A 25312-nucleotide genomic window follows, 5' to 3' on the forward strand; every position below is an offset into this window, starting at 1 on the left:
GCTGAATGGTGCAGGGCCCATGTTATACCATTCCATCCACATTTTACTCCCTGTGACTCTCAGCTGGGCCCTGGGAGTGATATTCACCCAGAATACCATGTCGGTCATGCATTCCGGAATTGGGCAATGTGTCTGCCTGGTCTTGGGAAGCATGCCTTTTGGAGACTCCCAGAAATAATTACAGGCTGCTTTTCATGGGCCACTGAGGTTCAAGCTATCAAACTTGTAGGGACCAAGCCATTATGATTTTGAGTTTTGAGTTAATACATCCTCATTTTATTCATATGGTCTGATAACATCTGGGGGTCCTCGTTACTTAGCTTTTACCACTCTTATCAGAGATTGTTGGGTTGTCTTATAGTAGGAGCCAGTGGGAGTATAAGCAGTGTTCCAAATTCAAGTGCATTTGGTGGACTGATGAGACAGGCCTGGCAGCATGCATTTGCATGGGGGTCTGGGATGGCTTGTAGGTGGGTCAAAGACTATGAACCTGTGTTAAATTGAGTGATTTTCAGAATAGCGTAATATCCATCATTCAGATTGTTCTCCATTCCTACTTACACCTGGGTTTTGAGGTAAATCTGCAAAAAGGTCATATTTAATTTAAATCTGTTCAGGGCAGAGCTTATGGCAAGCTCTAGTGGGAGAATCAGTGTAGACCGCTCTGGAGAGAAGACATGCCATCTGAAGAAGAGAATTATAGAAAAATTTTCTGGCACATTACTGGGAGAAAATTTGACCATAGGGAACCAGGGGGTGATGGGTCCAGAAATGCCCATTAGGCATTTTGCCAGACTTGCCAAGTCATAAAGACAGGTGGGCCCAGGAGCAGTCCATCAAAAAATTGAAATGGTACATTTGGGGTCAAATGTGAGCAGAGCAGAAGGCACAAGTAAGCTTCAGGGAAAGGTAGCCTAGACTGATGTCCCCTGCCACAGATGCACAGGTACCCCTACCCTAACTCACACTTATGACTGTGTTGTGGGGAGAGTTCCCATACAGCCAGCTAAAGGAAGATGTATTAGTCCGTTTTCATGCTGCTGGTGAAGACGTCCCCGAGACTGGGTAATTTATAAAGAAAAAGAGGTCTGATGGACTTACAGCTCCACATGGCTGGGGAGACCTCACATCATGGCAGAAGGCAAAAGGCACATCTTACATGGGGCAGACAAGAGAGAAGGAGAGCCCAGTGAAAGGGGAAACCCCTTATAAAACCATCAGATCTCATGAGACTTATTCACTACCATGAGAACAGTATGGGGGAAACCACCTCCATGATTCAATGATCTCCCACTGCATCCCTCCCACAACTTGTGGGAATTGTGGGAGCTATAGTTGAAGATGAGATTTAGGTGGGGACACAGCCAAACAATGTAAGAGGGAAAAGCCCAAACCTTGTTTGCAGATGTGTCTGTTGAGTTACATGGGTGCAAACTGAATATGTATGTGGCTGCATTATATTCACCTTTAGAGATGCCCTTAAACAATACTGGGCAGGGAAACTCTTCCCAATTGGCAAGCTGTGAGTGGTACCTTGTGTGGAAGGAAGAGTTGCCCAAGATAAGAATATATGCAGATTCCACGGCAGTGGCCGGTGATCAGGGGCCTAGAAGTCAAAGACTGACAGATTGGAGGCAAATAAAGTCTAGGGAAGAAGTGTGTGAATAGACACTTGAGAGTTAGCAAAAAATATGCAGGTCCTATGTCAAAATGTTAACATCAGGCCGGGTGTGGTAGCTCATGCCTGTAATCCCAGCACTTTGGGAGGCCAAGGTGGGCAGATCACTTGAGGTCAGGAGTTGGAGACCAGCCTGGCCAACATGGGGAAACCCCATCTCTACTAAAAATACAAAAATTAGCCGAGCATGGTGGTACACACCTGTAGTCCCAGCTACTCGGTAGTCTGAGGCAGGAGAATTGCTTGAACCCAGGAGGTGGAGGTTGCAGTGAGCCGAGATTGCGCCACTGCACTCCAGCCTGGGCAACAGAGTGAGACTCCATCTCAAAAAAATAAACAGTTATCCACCAGAGAGCATCCAACATGGATAAGGCATGTGATGGTTAATTTTGTGTATCAACTTGACTGGGCCACGGGGTGCTCAGAAATTTAGTCAAACATTATTCTGGGTGTGTCTGTGAGGATGTTTCTGGGCAAGATTATCATTTCAATTGGTAGACTCAGTAAAGCAGATTGCCCGCATAATGTGGGTATGTCTTGTCCAATCAGTTGAAGGCTTGAATAGAACAAAAAGGTTGAGTCTCCTACAAGTAAGGGGGAGTTTCCTCCTGCCTGACTACTTGGAGCTGGGGCATCAGTTTTGTCCTGCCTCTGCACTTGAAGTGAAACATTGGTTTTCCTGGTCTTTAGCCTGCTAGGCTTTGAACTATACCTACACTATTGGCTCTCCTGGTTCTCAGGCTTTCAGACTTGGACTGGAAAAACACCATTGGCTCTCTTGGGTCTCCACCTTGCCAACTGCAGATCTTGGGACTTGTCAGCCTCTATAATTGCATTTGTTTCCCTCTATCTCTAGGTAGGTAGGTAGATAGCTAGCTAGATAGATCAATCTTATAGAGATATATGTACATAGGCCCTGAAGGTACAATTAAGTTATTTAAGAAGTGGCCCAAATGCCCATGGTCCCCACTACTTCTAATTACCTTCTCTCTTACAGCCTGCACCTGTGGCCTCATGGCGCATTCTCTACAATCAGTTGACAGAGGAAGAGAAGACTCAGGCCTGGTTTACAGATGATTTTGCATTCTACGCAGGTACGACTCAAAAGTGTACTTCTGCCACATTACAGTCCCTTTCTGAGACATCCCTGAAATACTGTAGGAAGGGAAATCTTCCCAGGTGGCAGAACTTTGAGCAGTGCACTTGGTTGTTCACTTTGCTTGTAAGGAGAGATGGCCAGATGTGCAATTATGTATCAATTCTTGAGCTGTGGCCAGTGATTTGGCTGGGTGGTCAGGGACTTGGAAAGAACATGATTTAAAAATTGGTGACAAGGAAATTTGGGGAAGAGATATGTGGGTGGACATCCCTGAGCAAAAAACTTCTGAAGTTATTTGTGTCCCATGTGAATGCTCACCAAACCAAAAGGTGATGTCAGCAGAGGAGGATTTTAATAATCAAGTGGATAGAATAACCCATGTGTGGATACCAGCGGTATTAGTCCATTCTCTCACTACTGTGAAGAAATATGCAAGACTAGGTAATTTATAAAGAAAAGAGGTTTAATTGACTCACAGTTCCACATGGCTGGGGAGGCCTCAGGAGACTTGCAGTCGTGGCAGAAGGCACCTCTTCACAGGGCAGCAGGAGAATGAGGGCTAAGCAAAGGGGGAAGCCCTTTATAAAACCATCGGATCTCATGAGAACTTACTCAATATCACGAGAACAGCATGGAGGAAACAGTCCCCATGTTTCAATTACCTCCTACTGGGTCCCTCCCATGCCATGTGGGGATTATGGGGATTATAGTTCAAAATGAGATTTGGGTGGGGATACAGCCAAACCATATCACCAGTGAAACTCTTTCCCCAACAACCCCATTATTGTCCAATGGGCTCATAAACAAACTGGCCATGGTGACAGGGATGGAGGTTGTGCATGGGCTCAGCAACATGGACTTCCATTTACCAAGGCCAACCTGGCTGTAGCCACTGCCGAGTGTACATTCTGCCAGCAGCAGAGACCAACACTGAACACGCCATATATGGTCCTATTCACTGGGGTAATCAGCCAGCTACCTGATAGCAGGTTACCATTGGACATATGGAAGAGGCAGCATTTGGTTCTTACAGGAACAGACATTTATTCTAGATATAGATTTGCCCTCCCTGAATGCAGTGCTTCTGCCAACACTACCATCTGTGAATTTATAGAATGCCCATCTACCATCATGGTATTCCATACAGCGTTGCTTTTGATCAAGGAAATAACGTTTCAGAAAAACAGAGGTAAAGAAATGGGCCCATGTTCATGGAATTCACCATGTTCCCCACCACCCTGAAACAGCTGGCTTGACTGCATGGTGGAGTGGCCTTTTGAAGACACAGTTACAGCTCCAGTTAGGTGGCAGAGCTGAAGCAAGGTTCTCCAGGAAGTTTTATATGCTCTGAATCAGCATCCAATACGTGGTACCGTTTCTACCTTAGCCAGGACTCACGGATCTAGGAAGTAGTGGGTGGAAATGGGAGTGGCACCACTCACTGTTATCTCTAGTAATCCACTAGCAAAATTTTGCTACCTCTTCCCATGACCTTATGCTCTGCTTGCCTAGAGGTTTTAGTTCCACAGGGAGAAATGTTTCCATCAGGAGACACAACAGTGATTCCATTGCACTGGAATTTAAGACTGTGGCCCAGACATTCTGGGCTCCTCATGCCTCTGAACCAACAGACTAAGAAGGGAGTATCTCTGTTGACTGGAATAATTAATTCTGATTGCCAAGGGGGAAATTGGACTACTACTCCACACTGGGCATAAGGGAGAGTATATCAGAAATACAGGCAATCTTATTATTATCATGCCCTGTGACTAAGGTCAATGAAAACTACAACAACGCAATCCAGACAGGATTAATAGCCCAGACCCTTCAGGAATGAAGGTTTGGGTCACCCCACTGGTAATGAACCCCAGCCAGCCAAGGTGCCTGCTGAAGGCAAAAGGAAAACAAAAGGGGTCATGGAAGGAGGTGATTATCAATACCAACTATGATCGTGTGACCAGTTACAAAAACGAGGACTGTAATTGTCATACATTTATCTCCTTTATTTTGTTATAAATATGTGTGTATGATAAGTAACTTTGTTTCTTCCCTCTTTTATTCCTTTATCATGTAACATAAGATGTATTGGCTTTATATCATAGTATTGAAGTAGTGTTAATTTTACATCATAGTATTTAAGTTGTGGGATACAAAGGACAAGAGTAAATGTCACTCAAGGATTTTACCTCCTCTGCTGGGGAAGGGATTAATGTGTTTCCAGTTGTATGCAGGATAGTTGTGTCATGTTAGGTGGAGTTATGACATTGGTTCTGTCTTTATTTGGAGATTAAATATGATTTAAGGAGATGTGTATATTTGCCAGCCTGACAAGGGGTGGACTTGTGATGGTTAATTTTAATGTGTCAACCTGACTGGTCTACAGGGTTCGTAGATATTTGGCTAAACAATATTCTGAGGTTATGCATGGGCCCAGTGACCTGACCTCCCACTTACCAAGTCTGTTCTAACTGCTGCTGTCACTGAATGTCTAACCTGCCAGCTAGGAAGACCAATGTTGAGCCCCTGATAGGGCACCATTTACTGAGGAGACTCATTGGCAACTTGATGGCAAGTTGATCACATTGGACATCTTGCTTTTCTCATTCAATAATACCAAAAATATCTTATAACTCTTAAAGTCAACTTGCAGAACTCTATTTTATTTATTTATCAATTTCTACTATGAACAAAGCCAAAGAGAACATCCTTCTATGTGTGATCTTCTCCGTGCTTTTACTCCTAAGGGATATAAAGCAGGTTTGTCATTGCTTGGGAAAAGATACAAGTAAATGTAATTTGAATATATATTGCCAGATTGTTTTACAAAAAGGCTAAAATATTTCTTGTTTCCACCAACAATTTATGAGAATCTCCTTCTCGCCATAGTCTTGCAATAATAGGCGTTATCACTCTTTTAAATTTTTGACATATATATATATATATTTATTTATTTATTTATTTATTTATTTTATTTATTTTTTTTTTTTGAGATGGAGTCTCGCTCTTATTGCCCAGGCTGGAGTGCAATGGCACAATCTTGGATCACCACAACCTTTGCCTCCCAGGTTCTAGCGATTCTCCTGCCGCAGCCTCCTGAGTAGCTGGGATTACAGGCATGTAGCACCACACCTAGCTAATTTTGTATTTTTAGTAGAGATGGGGTTTCTCCATGTTGGTCAGGCTGGTCTTGAACTCCCGACCTCAGGTGATCCACCCACCTTGGCCTCCCAAAGTTCTGGGATTACAGGTGTAAGCCACCACTCCTGACCCATTTACTGTATTTTCAAATGTTTATTAGCCATTAGATTTTCTCTTCTGTGAATTGTCTGTTCATATATTTCAAGACTTTCTTACTAGTCTTTTATTCTCTTTTGCATCAGTTTGTAAAAACTCCTTGTACAGTATCATTATGGAATAGTTACCTCTCCTATGTATTATAAATATTTTCTCTGCCTTTATTATCTATTGATTTTGATTACTGTATCTCTTCCACATTTATTCATATAAAAGTTTTAAAGTTTTGGTCCTGCGTGGTGACTCACGCCTGTAATCCCAGCACTTTGGGAGGCGGAGGCAGGTGGATCACCTGAGGTCAGAAGTTCAAGACCAGCCTGGTCAACATGGTGAAACCCCATCTCTACTAAAAATACAAAAATTAGTCAGGCGTGGTAGCAGGTGCCTGTAATGCCAGCTACTTGGGAGGCTGAGGCAGGAGAATTGCTTGAACCCAGGAGGCGGTGGTTGCAGTGAGCTGAGATCATGCCATTGCACTCCAGCCTGGGCAACAGAGACAAACTTAATATCAAAAAAAAAAGTTTTAAACTTTTATAGTCTAATACGTTTATTTTTTTCTTTTGTCATGTCTGGGTTTGTGTCTCTCCTACCTAAGTATATATTTTCCTAGATTTTTCCCTCTCAAAGATTTTGTTTGATTGATTTTTAATTTTTTATCCATCTGTAATTTATTTCTGTGTCTGGCATAAGCTAGATATCTGAGTTTTTTGTTTTTTTGTTTGTTTTGTTTTGTTTTGCTTGAGACGGCATTTCGCTCTGTCACTCAGGCTGGAGTGCAGTGGCGCGATCTCGGCTCACTGCAAGCTCCGCCTCCCAGGTTCACACCATTCTCCTGCCTCAGCCTCCCGAGCAGCTGGGAATACAGGCGCCCGCCACTAAGCCCAGCTAATTTTTTGTATTTTTAGTAGAGACGGGGTTTCACCGTGTTAGCCAGGATGGTCTCGATCTCCTGACCTCGTGATCCGCCCACCTTGGCCTCCCAAAGTGCTGGGATTACAGGCGTGAGCCACCGCGCCTGGCCCAGTTTATTTTCTTTTAGATAGTTGTGCCAGCACCATTTATTAAATAATTCATCTTTTCACAAGGATTTGCACTACCACCTTTATCACATATTACTTTTTGTATATATACTGAGTTCTCTTTCTGGGTCCTTATTCCATTCCATCAAGATGTTTGTCTAATCTTCTACAGTTCTTTAATGATTTGGTAACAGTGATTTTTCAGTTTGTTCTACTATCTGCCAAATCTCCCCTCACTTTTTTTTCTTTTTTTTTTTGAGATGGAGTCTCACTCTGTTGCCCAGGCTGGAGTGCAGTGGCGCGATCTCGGCTCACTGCAAGCTCTGCCTCCTGGGTTCACGCCATTCTCCTGCCTCAGCCTGCCGAGTAGCTGGGACTACAGCCACCCGCCACCACGCCCGGCTAACTTTTTGTATTTTTAGTAGAGATGGGGTTTCACCGTGTTAGCCAGGATGGTCTCGACTCCTGACCTTGTGATCCGCCCACCTCGGCCTCCCAAAATGCTGGGATTATAGGCGTGAGCCACTGCGCCCAGCCTCCCCTCACTTTTTTTCTTGCTATTCTCAGTCATTTATTTGTCCATGTAACTCTTTCTTGCTTTTTTTTTTTTTTTTTTTTTTTTTGGAGATAGAGTCTCGCTCTGTCACCCAGGCTGGAGTGCAGTGGAGTGATCTCAGCTCACTGCAACCTCCACCTCCCAGGTTCAAGTGACTCTCCTGCCTCAGCCTCCTGAGTAGCTGGGATTACGGGTGTCTGCTACCACACTCAGCTAATTTTTTTGTATTTTTAGTAGAGACGGGTTTTCACCATGTTGGCCAAGCTGCTTTTGAATCCTGATCTCAAGTGATCCACCCATCTCGGCCTCCCAAAGTGCTAGGATTACAGGCATGAGCCACTGTGCCTGGCCTGTCCATGTAACTCTTAAAGATATTTAATCCAGATCACCCACTGCCTATTCGAGTACTAATTGCAATGTAACTAAATTTACACATCATTTTGGGAAAATTGTCTTACCTAGTTTTTACAAATAGATGTTATTGTGTATATTTCAGGTTTAAACATGATGTTATAGGGTACAAATAGACAGTAAAATGGTTACTAAAGTGAAGCAGATTAACATCTATAATGTCACATAGTTTCTTTTTTGGTGACAAGAGCAGCTAAAGTCTACTCTGTTGTTTTCAACAAACATCCCTAATGCAATTTTATTAACTTTATTTGTTATTTGTTTTTGTGTTTTTGAGATGATGTCTTACTCTGTCGCCCAGGCTGTTGTGCAGTGGCACAATCTCGGCTCACTGTAACCTCAGCCTCCCAGGTTCAAGCAATTCTCCTACCTCAGCCTCCTGAGTAATTGGGATTACAGGTGCCTGCCACCACACCCGGCTAATTTTTTTTTTTTTTTTGTATTTTTAGTAGAGACGGGGTTTTACCATGTTGGCCAGGCTTGTCTTGAACTCCCGACCTCAAATGATCCACCCACCTCGGCCTCCCAACGTGCTGGGACTACAGGCATGAGCCACTGCGCCTGACCAATTTTATTAACTTGGGTCTTCATCTACATTAAATCTTGAAACTTGTTCATCCTGCATATCCACCGCTTTGTATCTTCTGATCTACATCTCCTCAGTTCCTCTCCCACGTTTTAATAGTAGTCTTCTCATCCAAGCACATGAATGCTTTCTCTTTCTTTCTTTCTTTCTTTGATACAGAGTCTTGCTCTGTTGCCCAGGCTGGAGTGAAGTGGTGCGATCTCGGCTCACGCCACTTATATTTATACCATTTTTCCTCTCACTGAAGGTACTACACTGTTCAAGACAGTGTTAAGTAATAACACTGCTGATATAGCATGGTGTTGTAGTTATTAAAATCAACTAGTTATTCATTTTAATAAAACAATTTTTGGCATTTTGTTATTTAGGACATTTCCTGTTGGGTTTTGGTAAATAGTCTATTATGTTAATAATTTTCTTCTATAGCTAATTTGTGTAGAATTTTTTGTTAGGAATGGCTATTGAATTATATCAATTATATTTTCATGATCATACATATCATGTATCTTGACGTGATCATATAGTTTTCCTCTTAAATCTGTTGATATATTGGATTATATTGACAGGTTTTCTGTTAGTCAACCACCTTTAAAAAATCTTGATTACATTTCTGAATTCAGTGTAATTGTGTGGAATCGTGCATATATATTCATAAACTTAGAAATGTGCATCTATACACATAAATGTGACTGAGCTACAGTTTCCTGTTTTGTTTGGCTTTGTTTTGTTTGCATTGTCTTTATTGGGTTTAGATTTACAGTTTGCTGACTTCTTAAAATAAATTGATGGGCTTTTTATCTTTTTTTGAATAGCCTGGAATAGTATAAATCACTTTGAGATTTTATGCTGTTTAAAGAATAGATAAAACTCAGCTGGGAACCCATCTGTCTCTGGTGATTTTTGCAATGTTAGAGTTTAACACTTTTTCAATTTCATCAACGGTTATTCTTCTATTTATGTTTAGTCTCTTTCTTGGGTGAGTTTTGTTTATATAGGAAATCATCTCTTTATCCTCCTGTTTTCAAATTTATTGACACCAAAGTATATGTGTATATGTGGTATCTCTTATAATTCTTTTAATCACTTTATCTCTGGTATGTCTCCTTTCTCATTCTTAGTTTTATATATGTTTATTCTCTTTATTTCTCCTTAGTTAGACTGGTAAGAGTTTAAAAATATTATTTGTATTTTCAAAGAACATGTGTTTTATGTTATTAAGAGTGGACAATTGAAGCTACAAGGCATCATATATGTCTGAATTGTCTCTGATGATGGAGGACATCATAAGAAATATCAAAGACACTTCTGTAAAAAGCCACAGAATATGCAAAGAAAGCAATTATATGCCAGACAGAAAATAATGGGGTGAAAGACAAGAAATAAATATAAGTTATGTTTAATTCAGTCTTCATTGTCAACTAGGAACTCAAAATAAGAACTTTCAAATAAATGCCATGCCTTTAGCAAATGGATGTGTTCACATAAGCATAGGTGATGCACCAAAAGCACACTACTTTGGGGGAAAAATGGAGTCAAACCTATACTGAGAAAGAAAATGTTTCCTCAGTTATCAAGCTATCTTGTCTAAGAGTATTGTGTGGAACAGTGTTCAATTCTTATTTTGTAGTCAAAGGATGTTCTAAAATTAATCTTTATCATCAGCAGATAAGTAGATTGTATTTATTAATACCTTTGTTCTAAACTAAATAATAAAACCATAAAGTTTCTAATAAGTTTGAAAACATTGTTGACCAGAAAGGAGCAAGAATATGGGGAAAATGGAAACCAGGAGTAATTCACACATATTCACACATAGGCAATGCTCAGGGTGTGTGTGTGTGTGCGTGCGTAGCCTCTCTCTCTCTCTGTGTTTCTATGTAGTCTCTTTGTTAATTTAAAAGTATTAAAAAGTATTATGTATGATCATTTATAAAATAATAAAGTCTGATATACTGAAATTTAAGTATCATTACAATAATTCCATTTCATTAACTTTTTTTTTGCTTGTTTTTTTGAGATGGAGTCTCCCTCTGTTGCCTAGGCTGGAGTGCAGTGGTGCAATCTCAGCTCACTGCAACCTCCGCCTCCCGGGTTTAAGTGATTCTTATGCCTCAGCCTCCCGAGTAGCTGGGATTACAGCACACCACCATGCCTGGCTAATTTTTGTATTTTTAGTAGAGACGGGGTTTCACCATGTTGGCCAGGCTAGTCTCAAACTCCTGACTTAAGGTAATCCACCTGACTCAGCCTCCCAAAGTGCTGGGATTACAGGAGTGAGCCACCATGCCCAGCCTCATTAACTGTTTATAGTTTTATTACAAACAACACTACAAGCTGCTATAATTTAAGAAATCTGGCATTCTTCATTGTTACAGCCTTACAAAAGAGAGGTAAAATCTCAAGAAAAAAATCACATATACATACATTAAAAACAAAGCTGTTTTTAAAAATACAGAAACCACGAATTTTATCGAGAGTAACTACAATAAAAGAACCCCACATTAATTAAATACACCATTTAACATACTGCTATCATTACCATCAATTTCTGCTGATTCTGATCTTTCATTTTTTACATTTAACAATAATAGTTATCACTTATTAGGAGGTTACTATATGCCAGGCAGTAAAATACATCAAACTCATTTAATCTTCTGAATGACACTGTAAACAAGTATTATTACATATCTTGCCCAAAATTTATTTATATTATTGATCAGAATACCTACACGTCTGGGCATGGTGTCTCACGCCTGTAATCCCAGCAGTTTGCAAGGCCAAGATGGGAGAATGCCTCGAGCCCAGGAGTTCAAGACCAGCCTAGGTAACAAAGCGAGACCTCCCCTCTACTACGAATAATAATAATAATAATAATAATAATAATAATAATAATAATAAAAAATCAGCTGAGGGTGGTGATGTGCACCAGTCCCAGCTACTCAGGAGATTGAGGTTGCAGTGAGCTATGATCACACCACTGCACCCTAACCTGGGGAACACAGCAGCAAAAACCTGTCTCAATAATAATAGTAATAATAATAATAATAATAATACCTATAGTGTTTCTCAAGTATGAGTTTCAGTGAATTAGTGGTTCTAGCTTAGTGTCCATTCACATTCCAAATATATAATTTCGCTGGACACGATGGCACATGTAATCCCAGCACTTTGGGAGGGAAAAGCAGGCGGATCACTTGAGCTCAGGAGTTCAAGACCAGCCTGGGAAACATGGTGAAACCCCATCTCTACAAAAATACAAAAAATTAGCCGGGCATGGTGGCATGCTTCTGTAGTCCCAGCTGCATGGGAGGCTCAGGTGGGAGGATTACCTGAGCCAGGGAAGTCAAGGCTGCAGTGAGCCTAGATTGTGCCACTGCACTCCAGCCTGCGTGACAGAGTGAGACCCTGTCTCAAAAAACAAAACAAGGCCAGGCGTGGTGGCTCATGTCTATAATCCCAGCACTTCAGGAGGCTGAGGTGGTTGGATCACTTGAGGTCAGGAGTTCAAAAACCAGCCTGGCCAACATCGTGAAACCCTGACTCTACTAAAAATACAAAAATTAGCCAGGTGTGGTGGCGCATGCCTGTAGTCCCAGCTACTTGGGAGGCTGAGGCAGGAGAATGGCTTGAACCCTGGAGGCGGAGGTTGTAGTGAGCCATTGCACTGCAGCCTGGGCAACAGAGCAAGACTCTGTCTCAAAAAAAACCCCATAAAGAAACAAAAAATGTAATATAATTTGTTCCTGAAGACTAGCTTGATTATACAATGCAGCAGCAGGCTTTTCTAGTAACCCTAATGCAGAATTGAGAAAAGTACATAATCCTTTCTACATATATCCACATACCCATACCACCCCCTCTACCTTCAACACATCTTCCTTCCCCCTCAGTCCCTTCCTCTCACCTCCTCCCCCACCTCCTCTTCTCCTATCATTCTCACAATTTGTTATCACATCCTTGAAGTCACCTTTTATTTATCTTCTCAGTGTGAGAGTCACATATGATGTTTATCAACATACAAGACCCATCTGCACACATGCAACTTAATTTCCCTGTGTTGACTGCTCTTGTAGAATTCAGGGTCCAGGCCTGTCCTCTACATGAATTCCCAGCTTGCCCAACCCCCTAAACTGGTTCCTCTCCTCTAGTTTTACACATTCAGGCAAGTGGAGTGAAGCAACTGAACAGTCACCCACCCAGGTATTCAAGCCATAAACTTAAAAATCACTCTTGAGTCCTCTTTTTCGCTCTCCACAGCACCGCCATCCATTACGTCTACCTCCAAATCTTTTTTCTTTTTTTTTTTTTTTGATACAATCTCACTCTGTTGCCCAGGCTGGAGTGCAGTGGCGCAATCTCTTGGCTCACTGCAACCTCCGCCTCCCGGGTTCAAGAGATTTTCATGCCTCAGCCTCCTGAGTAGTTGGGATTACAGGCATGCGCCACCACACCCAGGTAATTTTTGTATTTTTAGTAGAGATGGGGTTTCACCATTTTGGCCAGGCTGGTCTGGAACACCTGACCTCAAGCAATCCCCCTACCTTGGTCTCCCAAAGTGCTGGGATTACAGGCATGAGCCACCACCACGCCTGGCCCCTCCAAATCTTTACCCCTAAAACATATCCTGAATCTTTCTACTTCTCCCCCCTGTCACTACTGCCACATTGTCTAAAAGATCATCATCTCTTACCTAGATACTATGATAACATCCTAATGGTCTCCTTGCTTTCACCTTTGTCACTTTATGCTCCAGAATTCACCTGGCAGCCAGATGGTTTTCTAAAAATATCAATCCTTTTATCTTACTTTCCTGCTCAAAATTATCCAATGGACTGGGTGTGGTGGCTCACACCTGTAATCCCAGCACTTTGTGGGAGGCTGAGACAGGAGGATCACTTGAGGCCAGGAGTTTGAGACCAGCCTGAGCAACAGAACAAGACTCCATCTCTACAAAATAAATAAATAAATAATGTTTTTAAAAAACAACAACAAAAACCCTATCCAATGGCTTCCTAATGCGTTTAGAATAAAACCCATATTGCATACCCTGGACTAAAAGACCCTATATGAACCAGACCTCCTTTTCTTGCCGGTCTCATCTTCCATCCCAATCCCTGGTGTATTTTCTTCACAGTTTGTTTTTCTTCCGTCTTACTTTTTTTTTTTTTTTTTTTTTTTGACAGAGTCTTGCTCTGTCACCCAGGCTGGAGTGCAGTGGCATGATCTTGGCCCACTGCAACCTCTGCCTCCCGGGTTCAAGCAATTCTCCTGCCTCAGCCTCCTAAGTAGCTGGGATTACAGGCACGCACCACCATGCCCCGCTAATTTTTGTATTCTTAGTAGAGACGGGGTTTTACCATGTTGGCCAGCATGGTCTCAAACTCTTGACCTCGTGATCCACCTGCCTCGGCTTCCCAAAGTGCTGGGATTACAGGTGTGAGCCACTGCGCCTGGCCCCCGTATTACTTTCTTGCTTACGCTAATAGGTGTGTGAGCTTTACGATTTGTGTACCATCTAATGAAGATGACCTGTATATATTTATTACAGAGGGGCAAAACAGAAGTTCTTCTTTGGACACTTGACCTATTAAAAGCCTAGGGAAAACCCATGCATCTCTGATCAATTAACTTTGGACAAAGATGTCAAGATTATTCAATAGGAAAATGATAGTATTTTCAACAAATGGTCCTAGGACAACTGTATATTCATATGCAAAAGAATGAATTTGGACCCCCTACTTCACACCATATTCAAAAGTAACTCAAAATGTATCAAAGATCTAATGATAAATGCTGAAACTACAAATCTCTTAGAGGGAAACAAAGGTGTAAATCTTTATGACCTTAGATTAGGCAATGGTTTCTTAAATATGACACCAAAAATACAAGCAACCAAAGAAAAAATGGGTAATCGGGGCCAGGTATGGTGGCTCATACCTGTAATCTCAGTGACTCAGGAGGCTGAGACAGGAGCATCACTTGAGGCCAGCAGTTCAAGACCAACCTAGGCAACATAGCAAGATCTCATCACTACAAAAAATATGTATTTTTAAAATAGCTAGGCATGGTGGCACACACCTTTGGTCCTAGCTACTCTGGAGGCTGTGTCAGGAGGATGACATGAGCCCAGGAATTCAAGGTTACAGTTATGTTCACACCGCTGCTGTACTCTAGCCTGGGTGATAGAGTGAGACTCTGTCTCAAAAAGAAAAAAAAAAAAAGAAAACCCAAACAACACAATCTTAAAATAAGCAAAGGATTTGAACAGATATTTCTCTAGAGAAGATAAACAAATGACCAATGAACATGTGAAAAGATGCTCAACATCACAAGCCATTTGGAAAAATGCAAGTTAAAACAGCAATGACGTATGAACTCATACCAACTAGGATGACTACAGTTAAAACAAAAATAAAATCCAGAAAATAACAAGCTTTGGCAAGGATGTGAAGAAAATGGGGCCCTCATACCTTGCTGGTGGTGATGTAAAATGGTACAGCCACTGTGGAAAACAATTTGGCCATTCCTAAAAAAGCAAAGTGTAAAGTTTGCATGTGACCCAGCAATTCCAAGCCTAAGTATATACCCAAGAGAACTGAAAATATGTGCTCACACAAAAACCTGTACATGAATGTTCATAGCGGTATTATTCATAAGAGCAAAAAAGAAAAACCAACCCGAATGTCCATCAGCTGATGAATGTCATACATCCATATAGTGGAATATTATTCAGTCATAAAAAGGAAGGAAGTGCTGACCCATACTATAACATGGATGAACCTAGAAAAAATTATGCTAAATGAAAGAAGTCAGACACAAAAGTCTACATATTTTGTGATTCCATTTGTATAAAATGTGCAGAATTGGCAAATACATAGAGACAAAGTAGATTAGTGGTTGCCAGAGGTTGAGGGGAAGAGGGAATAGAACATGATCGCTAATGAGGACAGGGTATCTTTTAGGGGTGATGAAAATGTTCTGGAGTTAGATAGTGGTGATGGTTACTTAACTTTGGGAATATGCTAAAAACCATTCATTCAATTGTATACTTTGAAATGGGTTAAAATGATAAATGTTATGTAAGTTTTATCTTAAAAATTCAAAATAAAAAAATGCCTAGGGAAAATGTCAAGAATTTGGTATGTATACAAGTCAGCAGCCCAGGGAAGAGGCCACAATAGAGATAGAGATTTAGGGGAGATTGAAATATTGATGGTATATAAAATGCTGAGTCTGCCCTGTATTTGTGGATAATATGATTGAATGTGAAGAAAATTCTATGGCCTCCATAAAACAACTGCTAGAACAAGTAAGTGAATTTAGCAAGGTCCCTGGATATAATAAGGTCATATAAAAATCAGTTGTATATTTATATACTGCATCAAACAATTGGAAAGTAAAATTTTTAAAAGCACTCCATTTATAATAATATTGGAAAGCATATAACATACTTAGAAATGAATTAAGCAAAATATATGTAAAATCTCTACACTGAAAATTACAATACATTGCTGAGATAAATTAAAGAAAACCTAAATAAAGAAATAATACCATATTTGTGGTTTGGCTGAGTCAATATTGTTAAGATGTCAATTTTCCTCCAAATACATCTACAGATTTAATGCAATCTCAATCATATCCCACTAGGCTTTTTTTTCTTTAATTAAAAGGCTCATTCTGAAATTTGTGTGGAAGCATAAAAGGGCCTAGAATATCCAAAGGAATTTTGTAAAAGAAAAACAAAGTTGGAGGACTAACATTACTTGACTTCAATATTTACTATAAGTTTAAAGTAAGGCAATGTGGTACTGCTATAAGGATCAACAAAAAGGTGAATAGAACTGAGGAGAAATCTGAGAAACAGAATCACACATATCATCATTTGATTTTCAACAAAGACGCCAAAGCAATACAATGAAGAAAGGAAAATCTTGCAACAAATATGGGCTGGGTGAGGTGGCTCATATCTGTAATCTCAACACTTTGGGAGTCTGAGGTAGGAGGATCGTTTTAGCCCGGGAATTTGAAACCAGCCTGGACAACACAAGACCCTGTCTTTATAAAAAATAAAAAATCAGGCCGGGCGTGATGGCTCATGCCTGGTAATCCCAACACCTTGGGAGGCCGAGGCGGGAAGATCATCTGAGGTCAGGAGTTCAAGACCAGCCTGACCAACATGGAGAAACCCCGTCTCTACTAAAAATACAAAATTAGCCAGACGTGGTGGCGCATGCCTGTAATCCCAGCTACTCGAGAGGCTGAGGCAGGAGAATCGCTTGAACCCTGGAGGCGGAGGTTGCAGTGAGCTGAGATCACACCATTGCACTCCAGCCTGGGCAACAAAAGCAAAACTCCATCTCAAAAAATAAATAAATGAATAAATAAAATGAATAAATAAATAAATAATCAATAAAATGCTAGAATGACTGAATATCACTATGGAAAAAAACGAACCTTAAGACCTATCTCACACTATACACAAAAATTAATTCTAAACTGATTAAAGACCTCAATATAAAGGTGAAAACTACAAAGCATATAAAAGAAAATATAGGAGAATATCTTCATGACTTGTAGGCAAGGTTTGCAGAACACAGAACTATCTTGCCATAAAAGAATAGATTGGTGAATTAGACTTAATAAAAGTTTAAAACTTCTCATCAAAAGAATCCTTTAAGAAAATAAATAAGCAGGTCATAGACTGGAAGAATATAGTCATAGGGCTGGGCACAGTGGCTCACGCCTGTAATCCCAGCACTTTGGGAGGCCAAGGCAGGCGTATTACTTGAGACCAGGAGTTCAAGACCAGCCTAGCCAACATAGCGAAACTCCATCTCTGCTAAAAATGCAAAAAATTAGCTGGGCATGGTGGTGCTTGCCTGTAATCCCAGCTACTCAGGAGGCTGAGGCAGGAGACTTGCTTGAACCCGGGAAGTGGAGGTTGCAGTGAGCAGAGATTGTACCACTGCACTACAGCCTGAGCAACAGTGAGACCCTGTCTTGAAAACAAAAAATAATATGTGTGTGTGTGTGTGTGTGTGTGTGTGTGTAGAGAGAGAGAGAGAGAGAGTTATAAAATCATTTTCTAACATAGGACTGGTACCCAGGAAATAAAGAGCTTCTACAACTTGATGATAGAAAGACAAATGATTCAATTTTTTAAACAGGCAAAGAATTTGAACAGAGAATTTACAAGAAAGTTAATAAGTACACAAAAATCTTCATCATCACTAGTCATGAAGAAAATGTAATATAAAGTCACAATGAAATACTACTATACTTCCACCAAAATAGCTAGTTTTGAAAAGAACAGCACCACCAAATGTTGGCAAGGATGTGAACAACCGTAACTTGAATTCTCATATATTGTTGGTTGACGTGTAAAATGAAATAATGCTTATGGAAAAGGGTCTGCCAGCTTCTTATAAAGTCTTGGATCTGGATGAAACTAGTGAGAGAGAGACTAAAGATGGTTAAGAAAAGGGAGTCAAGTTCTAAGGACTAAAACATGCTAACATTTAGAAGTCACAGAAACAAAGAGTATTCATAAAAAGCACTGGGAAACAGGAAAGAATAAATCAGTAGAAAACTAAATGAATGTAATGTCAGGGGTGCCAAGACAAGAAAGCATAGTGAAACTTCCATCCTTAACAATGTTTTTTTGTTTTTTGCTTTAATATCCATTTTGTTTGCTATGACACTTAGGTTACTTCCGGTTAATATTTGGCTAGAATATTTATTTTCTGTCATTTTATCTTCATCTGTTTTGTATCAGGCATGCCTCATTTTACTGCACTTCTTTTTAGTGTGCTCCACAGATAGTGCTGTTTTCACATCGAAGGTTTGTGGCAAGTCTGCATCAGGCAACTCTGTTGGCGCCGTTTTCCAATAGCGTGTTCTCACTTTGTGTCTCCGTGTCACATTTTGTCAATTCTCACACTATTTCAAACGTTTATGTTATTATTATGTATGTTATGGTGATCTGTGATCAGTGATCTTTGACATCATTATTATAATTGTTTTGGAATGCCATGAACTGCGCCCATATAAGATGATGAACTTAATTGATAAATGTGTGTGTTCTGACTGCTCCACCAGCTGGCTGTTCCTCCATCTCTCTCCTTCTTCTTGGGCTTTCCTATTCCCTGAGACATAAACATTTTGAAATTAGGCCAATTAATAACCCAACCATAAAATAACCCTACAATGGCCTCTTAGTGTTCAAGTAAAAGGAAGAGTCATGCATATGTCACTTTAAATCAAAAGCTAGAAATGATTAAGCTTAGTGAGGAAGGCATGTTAAAAGTTGAGACAGGCAGAAAGCTAGGCCTCTTGTGCCAAACACTTAGCCAAAATGTGAATATGAAGGAAAAGTTCTTGAAAGAAATTAAAAATGCTACTGCAGTGAACACACGAATGATTAGAAAGCAAAACAGCCTTATTGCTGACAGAGAGAAAGATTTAGTGGTCTAGATAGAAGATCAAATCAGGTACAACATTCTCTTAAGCCAAAGCCTAATCCGGGGCAAGGCCCTAACTCCCTTTAGTTCTATGAAGGCTGAGAGAGGTGTGAATGCTGAAGAAGAAAAGTTGCAGGCTGGCAGAGGTTCATTATGTGTCTGGAATTGGTGGGTTCTTGGTCTCACTGACTTCAAGAATGAAGCCGCGGACCCTCGCGGTGAGTGTTACAGTTCTTAAAGGCGGCGTGTCCGGAGTTTGTTCCTTCTGATGTTCAGATGTGTTTGGAGTTTCTTCCTTCTGGTGGGTTCGTGGTCTCGCTGGCTCAGGAGTGAAGCTGCAGACCTTCGCGGTGAGTGTTACAGCTCTTAAGGCGGGGCGTCTGGGGTTGTTTGTTCCTCCCGGTGGGCTCGTGGTCTCGCTGGCTTCAGGAGTGAAGCTGCAGACCTTCGCAGTGAGTGTTACAGCTCATAAAGGCAGTGTGGACCCAAAGAGTGAGCAGTAGCAAGATTTATTGCAAAGAGCAAAAGAACAAAGCTTCCACAGCGTGGAAGGGGACCCGAGCAGGTTGCCACTGCTGGCTAGGGCAGCCTGCTTTTATTCTCTTATCTGGCCCCACCCACATCCTGCTGATTGCTAGAGCCGAGTGGTCTGTTTTGACGGGGCGCTGATTGGTGCGTTTACAATCCCTGAGCTAGACACAAAGGTTCTCCAAGTCCCCGTCAGATTAGCTAGATACAGAGTGTCCACACAAAGGTTCTCCAAGGCGCCACCAGAGTAGCTAGATACAGAGTGTTGATTGGTGCATTCACAAACCCTGAGCTAGACACAGGGTGCTGATTGGTGTGTTTACAAACCTTGAGCTAGATACAGAGTGCCGATTGGTGTATTTACAATCCCTGAGCTAGACAGAAAGGTTCTCCAAGGCCCCACCCGAGTAGCTAGATACAGAGTGTGGATTGGTGCATTCACAAACCCTGAGCTAGATGCAGAGTGCTGATTGGTGTATTTACAATCCCTGAGCTAGACATAAAGGTTCTCCACGTCCCCACCAGACTCAGGAGCCCAGCTGGCTTTACCTAGTGGATCCTGCACTGGGGCTGCAGGTGGAGCTGCCTGCCAGTCCTGTGCAGTGCGCCCGCACTCCTCAGCCCTTGGGTGATTGATGGGACTGGGCGCCGTGGAGCAGGGGGCGGCGCTCATCGGGGAGGCTCCCGCTGCACAGGAGCCCACAGAGGGGGTGGGAGGCTCAGGCATGGCGGGCTGCAGATCCCGAGCCCTGCCCCGCCGGAAGGCAGCTAAGGCTCGGCGAGAAATCAAGCACAATGCGGGTGGGCTGGCACTGCTGCGGGACCCAGTACACCCTCCGCAGCTGCTGGCCTGGGTGCTAAGCCCCTCATTGCCAGGGCCGGCGAGTTGCTCCGAGTGAGGGCCCGCCAAGCCCACACCCACCCGGAACTCCAGCTGGCCTGCAAGCTCGGCGTGCAGCCCTGGTTCCTGCTCGCGCCTCTCCCTCCACACCTCCCTGCAAGCTGAGGGAGCCGGCTCGGGCCTTGGCCAGCCCAGAAAGGGGCTCCCACAGCGCAGCGGTGGACTGAAGGGCTCCTCAAGTGCCGCCGAATGGGAGCCCAAGGCAGAGGAGGCGCTGAGAGCGAGCGAGGGCTGTGAGGACTGACAGCACACTGTTACCTCTCAATAAGATTTAAGGGAAAAAGCCATGTCCATAACATAGAAGTTCAAGATGAAGCAGCAAGTGCTGAGGGAGAAGCTGCAGCAGGTAATCCAGAAGATCTGGTTAAGATCATTGATGAAGGTGGCTACAGTCAACAGATTTTCAATGTAGATTTTAAAAGCCTTCCATTGGAAGAAGATGCCATGCAGGACTTTCATAGCTAGAGAGGAGAAGGCAATGCCTGGCTTCAAAGCTTCAAAGGACAGGCTCACTCTTTTGATAGAAGCCAATGCAGCTGGTGACTTTAAATGGAAGCCAATGATCATTTATCATTCCGGAAATCCTAGGGCCCTTAAGAATGACCCAAAATCTACTCTACTCTGACTACTCTAACAAAGCCTGGATGACAGCACATCCTTTTACAGCATAGTTGGCTAAATATTTTAAGCCCACTGTTGAGACCTACTGCTCAAAAACAGATTTCTTTCAAAATATTACTGCTCCTGGTCACACAAGAGCTCTGATGGAGATTTACAAGGAGATGAATGTTGTTTTTATGCCTGCTAATGCAATATCCATTCTGAAGCTCACAGATCAAGGAGTGATTTAACTTCCAAGTCTTATTATTTAAGAAATACATTTTGTAAGGCTATTGCTGCCATAGATAATGATTACTCTGATGGATCTGGGCAAAGTAAATTGAAAACATTTTGTGAAGGATTCACCATTCTAGATACCATTAAGAACATTCAAGATTCATGGGAGGAGGTCAGAATATGTGTAGGGCTATGCACATGCCCTAGGATGTGTGCATGTTCAGGAATTACTTGAGAATCTGTAGGCTTTCATCTTGGGCTAACCTTGGGCTCTGTGCAAACATGAATTGAAGGCAAAGGAAGAGTTGTGAATGGCCTCACTGAGTGTTGAAGGCATGCCCCAACCCTTAAACAGAGCCCCTCAGCAAATACTGGGAGACTTAATGGTTCCAAGCATTAAAAAAAAATCTACATTCAGTCACTAAAAACTAAATTAACTGAGAAGTGAATTCAGTGCCACGCATGACAAAGCATACAGATTTTATAGAAGTAGTTCAGAAAAGTCACTAGATAAACAATATTAACAACAATAAAAACAAGCCCAGGGAAGGGGGTGGTATATTTCATTTCCAGAGTTGACACATTCAATTATCTCAATGTCCAGTTTTACAACCAAAAAATTATGAGACATTCAGAGAAACAAGAAAGTGTAGCCCATACAGAGGAAGAAGAACATTTAATAGAAACTCTTCCTGGGGAAGCCCATATGTTGGACTTACTAGACAAACACTTTGCAGCTAATTTAAAATATGTTCAGCCAGGCGTGGTGGCTCACGCCTTTAATCCCAGCACTTTGGGAGGCTGAGGCAGTTGGATCACTTGAGGCCAGGAGTTTGAGACCAGCCTGGCCAACATGACGAAAGTCCGTCTTTACTAAAAGTACAAAAATTAGCTGGGCATCGTGGTGCATGCCTGTAATCCCAGCTACTAGGGAGGCTGAGGCAGAGAATCACTTGAACCTGGGAGGCGGAGGCTACAGTGAGCCGAGATCATGTCACTACCTTCCAGCCTGAGACACAGAGCGAGACTCCATCTAAATAAATAAATAAATAAAATGAAACATGTTCAAAGAACTAAAGAAAATCCTGACTAAAGACCTTAGAGAAAGTATGAGAATAATGTCTCACCAAATATAGAATATCAATAAAGTGATAGAAATAATAAAAGAGAAACAACTAGAAATGCTGGAGTTGCAAAGTAAACTAACTGAAATGAAAATTTCACTTGAAGAGCTCAACAGTACAGTTGTGCAGACAGAAGGAAGAATCAGTGATCTTTAAAGATAGCTCAGTTAAGCCTCGGCGAGGTGGCTAATGCCTGTAATTCCAGCACTTTGGGAGGCTGGAGGATTGCTTGGAGCCAGGAGTCCAAGACCAGCCTGGACAACATAATGAGACACCATCTCTACAAAAAAATTGGCCAGGCATGATGGCTTACCCCTGTAAACCCAGCACTTTGGGAGGCTGAGGGGGGCGGATCACTTGAGTCCAGGCGTTTGAGACCAATCTGGGAAACTTGGCAAAACCCCATCTCTACAAAAAATACAAAAATTAGCAGTGTGTGGTGACACATGCCTGTGGTCCCAGCTACTAGGGAGGATGAGGTGAAAGGATTGCTGAGCCTGGGAGATCGAGGCTGCGGTGAGCCATGATCACACTACTGCATTCCAGCCTTGGTGACAGTGAGACCCTGTCTCAAAAAAAAAAAAATTGTTTTTAATTGCTTAGTATGCTGGTGGTATGTACCTGTCTCAAAAAAAATTTTTTTTTTAATTGGTCAACATGGTGGTGGTGTGTATCTGTAGACTGAGCCACTGAGGAGGCTAAGGCGGGAGGATTGCTTGAACCCAGGAGTTCGAGGTTACAGTGAGCTATGATTGCACTACTGCACTCCAGCCTGGGAGACAGAGCGAGACTAAACAAACAAACAAACATAGCTCAATTACAATTACCCAGTGTGAAGAAGAGAAAGAAAAAGGAAAAAGAATGAAGAAAAATGAACAGAGCCCCCAAAGACCTCTAGGACCCCATGAAGTATAATACACTAACATATGCATAAAGGGAAGCCAAGAAAGAGAAGAGACAGAGAAAGGGCAGAAGGAATATTTGAAGACATAATGGCTAAAAACTTCCCAAAATGTGATGAGAAACATCAATCTACACATTTAGGAAGCTAAATGAAATTCATGTAGGATAAACTAAAAGATTGTCAGACCTAGACACATCACAATCAAACTCAAAAGGCAAAGGCAAAGAGAGAATCTTGAAAGCAGCAAGAGAGAAGTGACTCGTCACATTCAAGGGAGCCTCAATAAAATATCATCTGATTTCTTACCAGAAAACCTAGAGACCCTGCGATCACATATTCAAAATACTAAAAGAAGATACTGCCACCCAAGAGTTCTATATGTCAAAAAAACATATTTTAGAGGTAAAGAAGATATAAGGCATTTCTATATAAACAACAACTGAGAAAATTTGTTGGTAGCAGAACTGCCCTATAAGAAACACTAAAAGGAGTCTTTCAGGCTGAACTAAAAGAACATTATACAGGAACTTGAATCCACATGAAAAAATAAGGAGTACTGGTAAAGGTAACTGCATAGGTTATTTATTTATTTATTTATTTATTTTAGACAGAGTCTCACTCTCTTGCCCAGGCTGGAGTGCAGGGCGCAATCTTGGCTCACTGCAGCCTCTGCCTCCCGGGTTCAAGCAATGCTCCTGCCTCAGCCTCCCGAGTAGCTGGGATTACAGGCATGTGCCACCAGGCTTGGCTAATTTTTGTATTTTTAGTAGAGACAGGGTTTTGCCATGTTGGCCAGGCTGGTCTCGAACTCCTGACCTCAAGTGATCCACCTGCCTTGGCCTCCCAAAGTGTTGGGATTACAGGCGTGAGCCACTGGGCCCGGCTATGGATAGGTAAATATAAAGAACAATGTAAATGCATGTTTTGTTTATAACTCTTTATTTATCCTATTTGATTTAAACACAGCTGCATAAAGCAATAATTATAAATCTGCACTGATGCATGTGCACTATATACTGTATGACAGTAACAGCACAAAGGAGTAGGGGGAGAATGCAGTTTATAGAAATAAGGTTTTTGTAGGCTATTAAAATTAAGTTGCTACTAACCCAAACTAGAGTATTATAAATTAAGATGCTAATTACAAACTAGATAGAATCTTTCCTGTCTCTTACCACTTTTCCCTTCCTTCCTTCCTTCCTTCCTTCCTTCCTTCCTTCCTTCCTTCCTTCCTTCCCTCCTTCCCTCCTTTCTCTTTCTCTCTCTCTCTCTCCCTCCCTCCCTCCCTCCCTCTCTCTCTCTCTCTCTCTTTATTTCTTTCTTTCTTTCGAAGGAGTCTTGCTCTGTCGCCCAGGCTAGAGTACAGTGGCGCTCACTGCAACCTCCACCTCCCGGGTTCAAGTAGTTCTCCTGCCTCAGCCTCCCGAGTAGCTGGATTACAGGTGCCCACCACAGCACCTAGCTAATTTTTGTATTTTTAGTAGAGACGGGGTTTCACCATCTTAGCCAGGCTGGTCTCGAACTCCTGACCCCGTGATCCACCTGCCTTGGCCTCCCAAAGTGCTGGGATTACGGGCGACAGCCACCACACCCGGTTTTCCCTTCCTTTCTTTTACCCTAAATTTGGAGGGGGCAGAAACCATGTCTAGTTGATTAGGGAGCAAAAAGAATGAGAAAGTGGAGAAACAGAAGTCAACCAGGGTTATCTTTTCCCACTACCAACTATCACCTGAGGGAGAGAAAAAAGTTTATCTTAAATAAAGTTCACTTATTGCATTTATTTGTTCTATTACTACATATACATTGTTAAATATTATGATATTTTATGGTACTTAAAATTTTAGACTCGGCCGGGTGCCGTGGCTCATGCCTGTAATCCCAGGACTTTGGGAGGCAGAGGTGGGTGGATCACTTG

General features: G+C 41.9%; 1 long non-coding RNA gene across 1 annotated transcript in view, besides 1 other annotated feature; it reads left to right on the top strand.

Moving 5' to 3' along the window:
- The window catches only part of LOC105375536 (uncharacterized), a 68680-nt gene that overhangs the window by 11620 nt on the left and 31748 nt on the right, over positions 1-25312 (top strand). The window contains exon 3 of the long non-coding RNA XR_002956518.2: positions 2676-2772. This is a non-coding gene — a long non-coding RNA (uncharacterized LOC105375536). The remainder of the gene's footprint in view (positions 1-2675; positions 2773-25312) is intronic.
- Positions 10591-10996: a silencer, noted in NCBI's record as "fragment chr7:140647102-140647507 (GRCh37/hg19 assembly coordinates)". NCBI's record gives its function as "represses an EF-1alpha promoter that drives an FKBP-Casp9 reporter gene in an ReSE screen in HepG2 liver carcinoma cells {active_cell/tissue: HepG2}" and the evidence as "EXISTENCE:reporter gene assay evidence [ECO:0000049][PMID:32094911]".

The sequence above is a fragment of the Homo sapiens genome, chromosome 7, assembly GCF_000001405.40.
Source record: "Homo sapiens chromosome 7, GRCh38.p14 Primary Assembly".
Taxonomy (NCBI): Eukaryota; Metazoa; Chordata; class Mammalia; order Primates; family Hominidae; genus Homo; species Homo sapiens.